The sequence below is a fragment of the Homo sapiens genome, chromosome 13 (genome assembly GCF_000001405.40).
Source record: "Homo sapiens chromosome 13, GRCh38.p14 Primary Assembly".
Classification (NCBI taxonomy): domain Eukaryota; kingdom Metazoa; phylum Chordata; class Mammalia; order Primates; family Hominidae; genus Homo; species Homo sapiens.
In genome coordinates this window covers 56,974,720-56,982,325 of record NC_000013.11, presented here as the reverse complement: position 1 = coordinate 56,982,325, position 7,606 = coordinate 56,974,720, and the positions used below count along the sequence as shown (strand labels likewise).

The 7,606-nt window shown below is 39.7% G+C and overlaps 2 annotated features.

Annotated features, from left to right (window-relative positions):
- Window positions 6,172-6,671: an enhancer, noted in NCBI's record as "NANOG-H3K27ac hESC enhancer chr13:57549789-57550288 (GRCh37/hg19 assembly coordinates)". NCBI's record gives its function as "activates a minimal SCP1, AML or CMV promoter by ChIP-STARR-seq in naive and primed H9 embryonic stem cells {active_cell/tissue: H9 hESC(naive and primed)}" and the evidence as "EXISTENCE:reporter gene assay evidence [ECO:0000049][PMID:30033119]".
- Window positions 6,672-7,173: an enhancer, noted in NCBI's record as "NANOG-H3K27ac hESC enhancer chr13:57549287-57549788 (GRCh37/hg19 assembly coordinates)". NCBI's record gives its function as "activates a minimal SCP1, AML or CMV promoter by ChIP-STARR-seq in primed H9 embryonic stem cells {active_cell/tissue: H9 hESC(primed)}" and the evidence as "EXISTENCE:reporter gene assay evidence [ECO:0000049][PMID:30033119]".

The window sequence follows — 7,606 nt, the reverse complement described above, 5'->3', positions numbered from 1 at the left end:
TCACACCAGTTAGAATGACAATCATTAAAAAAGTCAGGAAACAACAGGTGTTGGAGAGGATGTGGAGAAATAGGAACACTTTTTACACTGTTGGTGGGACTGTAAACTAGTTCAACCACTGTGGAAGTCAGTGTGATGATTCCTCAGGGATCTAGAACTAGAAATACCATTTGACCCAGCCATCCCATTACTGGGTATATAACAAAGGATAATAAATCATGCTGCTATAAAGACACATGCACATGTATGTTTATAGCAGCACTATTCACAATAGGAAAGACTTGGAACCAACCTAAATGTCCAACAATGATAGACTGGATTAAGAAAATGTGGCACATATACACCATGGAAGACTATGCAGCCATAAAAAAGGATGAGTTCATGTCCTTTGTAGGGACATGGATGAAACTGGAAACCATCATTCTCAGCAAACTATCACAAGGACAAAAAACAAAACACCGCATGTTCTCACTCATAGGTGGGAACTGAACAATGAGAACACAGGGACACAGGAAGGGGAACATCACACACTGGGGCCTGTTGTGGGGTGGGGGGAGGGGGAGGGATAGCATTTGGAGATATACCTAATGTAAATGATGAGTTAATGGGTGCAGCACACCAACATGGCACATGTATACATATGTAACTAACCTGCACGTTGTGCACATGTACCCTAAAACTTAAAGTATAATAAAAAAAATTTTTTTTTCAGTAGTCTCCCTTACATGTGCTAATGGTAGCTTTTAGCAATTTTTAATGTTGGTGGAAATCCTGGTAAGCTATTTTAGTTATGTACTAGGTGCAGTTAAGGCCCAACTCTCTCCAACATAGCTAGGGGTGTGGCGAAATCCACAGCTCCCCAGGCCTTACCAAACTGTAAAGCAGGCAAGTCAAAAAACTTTCAGAAGCCAAAGAAGCAGTTTATGACCTTAAAGCATAATTTAGCAGACATAATATCTGATCCACCCAATTTAGACCAAATGTCTTTATCAATAATCTCTAAAGCTGTTTTTATTTCCCAAAGATTACTAAAGTTACATAAACTAAAAGACATTACAGTTTTTAGTTTTCTTTGAAAGTATTTGATTTAAATGCTTATTTTTTAAGCCAATTAATTAGACCTCTTTTATATAAACATCACACACACAACACACATATAACTACACAGACAGACAGAAGAAGCTCCAGTAGTTGTAACATTTTTCGTTTGCCAGTTTTTATGTTTTTTAAGTGGAATTCTGGCTCTAGGGGTAGAGTCCTTGGAGGAACATGTCCAGGAAAGCATACAGTTTCTAGGGAATAATATAATAAGCAGGCACAGCTGAAAGGCAAAACAGATCAGCAATTAATGGTCCCATCCCTATTTTTATGCCATATTCTGGGTCCCAAAAAGATGGAATCAGCCCATCTCCCATGGGAGTCTTATCTCTCAGTGGGGGTGGGGAAAACTCCATATTCCTAGGCAGCCAAGAGCGTGCTTCTCTGATCCAAAAGCAAAGAGCCGAATAGTCACATAATTGCCATTAAACATCCCTAAAAATATAATTCATACCTAGTTATTACATGCCAAAACTCTCTTATAATATGAAGTAATTTCTGACACTCCCAAAAGTCAAAAATGTCACATAATGCAATGCAAAACAAAACAAAGTCTTACATTTTGAGAAGAATCTATCCACTTCCAGTTTCAAGGGTTTCATGAGGAAAACAGGTTTTTCCCAAAACTAGGTCTATGGCCCCTCCTCTCTTTTTACCAAGCAGCCCCAGGCTGTTAGAGCTTGAATATCCACTTTTAATTAAACTGACTTTTAACTGTAGTGCCAAAGAGGTTGCATGGGGTAACCAAGTTAACATTTTTCATTCTAGCCAGAGCAAAATATGTGTGACAAAACATAGAGGTTAGCCACTCCGCTTAGTACCCAATATTAAACAGGCAAGGCTCAAACTTGCTCCTAGATGGGCCCCATTATCTCTAAATTGTTTTAGAATCTTCTTCATATTAATAGACATCCTTAGATGAGACTAATTTTGGAACCCTCAATTTTCTAATGCACTTCAGTGCATTGTTCATTCTGAACATTCCAGTGTAAGTTATCTTCAGTAAGATTTTGCCATTTATGTAAGACTTTGCTGCTTTCCTGGCCTAATACATAAGCTGGAAGGAACTTAGTTTTGCAGAAATTAAGAATCCCATTTTAACCTAAAATGTTGGCTTTATTCTCAAGTTACCTTGATTAACTTAGTCAATAATTTTTTTTCCTACCTGATCACACAAGAAAAATGAAACTAAGGAGTAGAACACAAAAATTCCTGTGAATTTTCAAAAGCCAACTTGTACAACCCCTACAACATTACCATTTACTACCAGTTTCTTTCTGATCCAGTCAAATTTAAGAGGCCTCTAACTAGATCCAAGCCAGTTAATTACTGGATCAAATCTGATTCTAGATCCAGTCCAGTTTCTGTTGTGACTTCCAAAACCAGTTTGGAACAGAAATTTGTTCAAAGAAACTCAGAGAGCTCAAAACACAAATCCATGGAGCTCTGAAATCCAAGAAAGAACTTACCATGATTCCCAGCCATTCTGAGAGATTAAAGAGCACAGGTGGGTCCTTGCAGGTAACTTGCTTGTTCACTCAGTGCTCCTGGGGGTCGTTAGGAGCTCAGCTTCAGAACACACTCCTGACACCATCTGTTAAAAGAAAACTTCAGCCATATTAAATTTAATAGAGTTTAATTGAGCAATGAATGATTTCTGAATCAGGCAGCCCCAAGAAGCACAGCAGATTCAGAGAGACTCCAGGGGCACCTCATAGTCAGAACAAATTTATAGACAAAAATGTAAAGTGACGTACATAAATCAGAAGTGAGGTACAGAAACAGCTGGGTTGGTTACAGGTTGGCATTTGCCTTATGTGAATACAGTTTGAACACTCAGCAGTGTATGAGTGGTTGAAGTATGGCTGCTGGGATTGGCCAAGACTCAGTTATTGTTACAGACACATACTCCTAAGTTAGATTTTCAATCTTGTCTACCTATTAAGTTAGGGTATGACTTATCCACAAGGACTCACATACAGAAGTGTGGAGTTCTTCTCCTACCATATTTAGTGCACTTTAACACTACAGTGCATTAGACCATTGTTCAGCCAAGTTATTTGCTACTCTATAACAAGGATTAACTTTCCTCCAGTTCCCAATACCATGTTCCTCATTTACATCTCAGCCCTCAGCAGAATTATCCTTAACATTCACATTTCAAAATTGCACCTCAAAACCTTTCTAGCTTCAGTCCAGATTCAAAGTAACCTCCATATGTTTAGATATTTGTTACAGCAGCAATCCATTTCTTGGTGCTAAAATCTGTATTAGTCTGTTCCAGTAGTCTTGATAAAATATCATAGACTGGGTGGCCTAAACAACAGGAATTTATTTCTTACAGTTTTGGAGGCTGGAAAGTCTTAAGATTGAGGTGCCAGCTGATTCTGTTTCAGGTAAGGGTTCTTTTACTGGCTTGTAGAAGGATACATTCTCACTGTGTCTTAGTAGCAAGAGAAATAAGAACAAGCTTTCTAGTCTCTCTTCTTATAAAAACACCATCTTATTCAACTTGGGCTGCTATGACAAAGTACTATAGACTAGGTGGCATATAAATAACCAGTGTTTATTTCTCACAGTTCTGGAGGCTGGACATTTAAGATCAAGGTGCCAATATAGTCAGGTTATGGTGATAGACTTTTAGTTGCAGACTGCCAACCTCTGGCTGTGTCCTCACATGGTTAAAAAGGAAGAGAGCTCGGTCAGATCTCTTTTATAAGGGTATTAATTATACTCATGACTTAATCTTTTCCCAAAGGCCTCACCTCCTCAGATCTTCTCATGCAGTGTTAACATTAAGATTTTTACACATAAATTTTGGGGAGACACAAATATGTAGTCCATAACATATACTAATGCTATTATGGATATCATAAGTTCCACTTTTGTGATCTTATTCAATCTTATTATCTATCTCAAAATAGAGTGACATTTAGGGTTATAAATTTTAGGAGACACAATTCAGTCTATAACACTGTTCTAAACTTTAAGTACTATACATTTTGTTTAAGTTTGAAAGAACCTGGGACTTAAGTTATGAAGGATGTGAAGTTTGAAAGCTGATTATAGAACATTAAGAAATTCTGATTTCAAGAGAGTATTTGATTAGGTATCCTGGTCAACCCATCTCTGAAAACATGTAAAACAGTTGCTTAAATGTTTTGAGACACTTATTTAAACGTTTATATTAATACTTTGAGGCCAGACATCAAGCGAAAATAAAACCCAGAGAAAGAAGCATAGACAGAGACTTGCATTTACCTGGAAGGCATTTGATAAAGTGAATAAATTCAAGTTTCTTTTTCATGGCCTCAGGGAAAACTGGTGCAGGTCCATCTACCTATGTTACAAGACTCCAGCTTTTCTCTTCCTCCTGCAAGAAGTTGGTATCCTATGGTCCAGAGCATTAATTTGAGTATAAATTATAAATAATCTTGCCCACTGCTGAGGAGATTTCCAGGAAAAAATACTGCTTGGAAAAAATTGCTAAATGGACAGGAAAGTCTCCCAAGAGATTTAGTAAACACAAGCAAGCCTCTAGGCAAGTTTTCAGCCCTAATACATGCTCCTTGCTTGTCATTACATTTTTAAATTATGAATATATTGCAATGTAATAAAGGAAATTATATTGTCTGCAAGCATCTGCCAGCAGCAATCACACATCTCCTGTGTAGGAACACAATTACAACTTAGGCCTCAATAAAACCTACACGTAATGTTCCAAGAGGTAGGAGCTCACAAATATAAAGCAATAAGGCAACATAAACAAGAACAAGAATAGACAATAAACAGACTAACCATTAGTGCTACAACAAGACATTGGAAGTCAAGAATGGAAATAATTATATTTAATGCATTTGGCAATACAAAACATTAGGCTGAATAAGCAAATAATAATCATAAGACTTCAAAAATAATCAAGTAGATTGTAAAATAAACAATAATTCTCCAAACACATTAAACCAGAAACCATTAGTTAGACTTAGCAACAGAAGTGACTCAACTCAAGTGAGAAATTATGATTTGGAAAAGCAAAACAAAACTAAACTAAAAAGATCAATATTACATTGGTTAGTAACAAGTCATAGGTCTTGCGCACAATCAAGAGAAGAATCTTATGTAAGGAAGTAGGGGTAATTGGGGCCCATCTTAGCGTGTATTTGCTGCAGCCCACCATCAAGCCCTACCACCACACCCACACACACTCCATCATACAGTGGTAGAATAGATGAAGGATGGCAGCTATTAAAATTATTATTTAAATAAGGGGAAATTTGGAGATAAAAAAGTAGCCACTGGTCTAGAGCAGTTGTTAGCTTGCAGAATACTGGAAATTCCTTGATTAGGTTTTAAAGCCTAGCAGTAGTTCTCGTTACCTTTCAGCTCTGCTTCTTTACCCTGGTTTCTGCCCTCCAGGACATCCTTCCTATTCGATATGGTTTGGTTGTGTCCTCACCCAAATCTCATATTGAATTGTAGCTCCCATAATTCCCCATGTTGTGGGAGAGACCCAGCTGGAGGTAACTGAATCATGAGGGTGTTTTTTTCCCCCATGCTGTTCTTCTGATAGCGAATAAGTCTCATGAGATCTGATGGTTTTATAAAGGGAAGTTCCCCTGCACACACTCTTAGCCTGCCATCATATAAGATGTAATTTGCTTCTCCTTCACTTTCCACCATGATTGTGAGGCCCCCCCAATATCTGTAACTGTGAATCAGTTAAACTTCTTCCCTTTATAAATTACCCAGTTTTGGGTTATGTCTTTACTAGCAGTGTGAGAACAAACTAATACAATAAATTGGTGCCAGTAGAATGGGGTGCTGCTCTAAAGATACCCAAAAATGTGGAAGTGACTTTGGGACTGGGTAACAGGCAGAGGTTGGAACATTTTGGATGTCTCAGAGGAAGATAAGAAAATGTGAGAAAGCTTGGAACTTCCTAGAGACCTGTTGAATGGCTTTGACCAAAATGTCGATAGTGATATGAACAATAAAGTCCAGGTTGAAATGGTCTCAGATGGAAATGAGGAACCTGTTGGAAACTGGAATAAAGGTGACTCTTGCTAGGTTTTAACAAAGAGACGGGTGGCATTTAATCCCTGCCCTAGAGAACTATGGAACTTTGAACTTGAGAGAGAGTATTTGGAGTATTTGGTGGAAGAAATTTCTAAGTGGCAAAGCGTTCAAGAGGTGAGAGAATGAGTTTGGAAAATTTGCAACCTGGCAATGCAGTATAAAAGAAAAACTCATTTTTTGGGAAGAAAAAAATCAGGCAGCCTGCATAAATTTGCATAACTAAGGAGGAACCCAATGTTAATCACCAAGACAATGGGAAAAATGTCTCGAGGGCATGTCAGAGATCTTCATGGCAACCCCTCCCATTACAGGTCTGGAGGCCTAGGAGGGAAAAAGTTTCATGAGCTGGGCCCAAGGCCTCCTTGCTCTATGCAGCCACTGAACATGGTGTGGTGCCCTGCATCCCAGCTGTTTCAGCTCTAGCTGTGGCTAAAAGGGGTCAACATACAGTTCAGGCCATTGCTTCAGAGTGTGCAAGCCCCAACTGTTGGCAACTTGCACATGATGTTGGGCCTATGAGTGCACAGCAATCAAGAACTGAAGTTTGGGAACCTCTGCCTAGATTTCAGAGGATGTATGGAAATCCCTAGATGTTCAGGCAGAAGTTTGCTACAGACGGGAGGCCCTCATGGAGAACCTCTGCTAGGGTAGTGTGAAAGGGAGAGGTGGGGTTGGAGCGCCCACACAGGGTTCCCACTGGGGCCCTGCCTAGTGGAGCTGTGAGAAGAGGGCCACCATCCTCCAGAACCCAGAATGGTAGATCCACTGACAGCTTGCTCTGTGTTCCTGGAAAAGCCACAGATACTCAACAACAGCCTATGACATTGGCCAGGAGGGGAGGTGTTGTGCAGAACTTTTTTTACATTATCTAAAACGAGGTCCTTGTCCATTCCACAGCCACAAAAATTTAGGCTCACAGATGGTTTGAAGGGTGACGGAAGCAGGGTTTTATTGGATGAAAAGAAAGAAAATGGGGAAACAGGGACTCTTGCTAGGCCAGAGTGCCTGCTAGAGCACTTCCTGCCCAGCAGTTTGAATCCCAGCTTCCACACAGGATGAGGAGGGGCCAGGATCCTCCCTGCTGCATACTTCGTGAACTTCTAGAGGCTCCACCTCAGTGGGCAGGCTGGTTGGAGTTTCTCCAAGTATCCCCCTCCCATCTGGCTGTCTCATTCCCCATTCTAATGAAGTATATCTAACTGCCATTACATTAAGGATAAGGATGAAGACCAATTTTAACTGTTTCCTACTGGCATGGGGTGCTGTTTTGGGGGAAATGGCAGTTAGAGCTCTCTCAGCGACCTATCTAAGGGTTCCCAGCAGAAGAAGCCATCGTCAGAAACTCTGGTTGTATGACTGTTTGGAGTTTGATGGCCTGAAGGCAAGAACAGACAAATCAGATTATTAGAACACATGTATCAAAACGAAACAA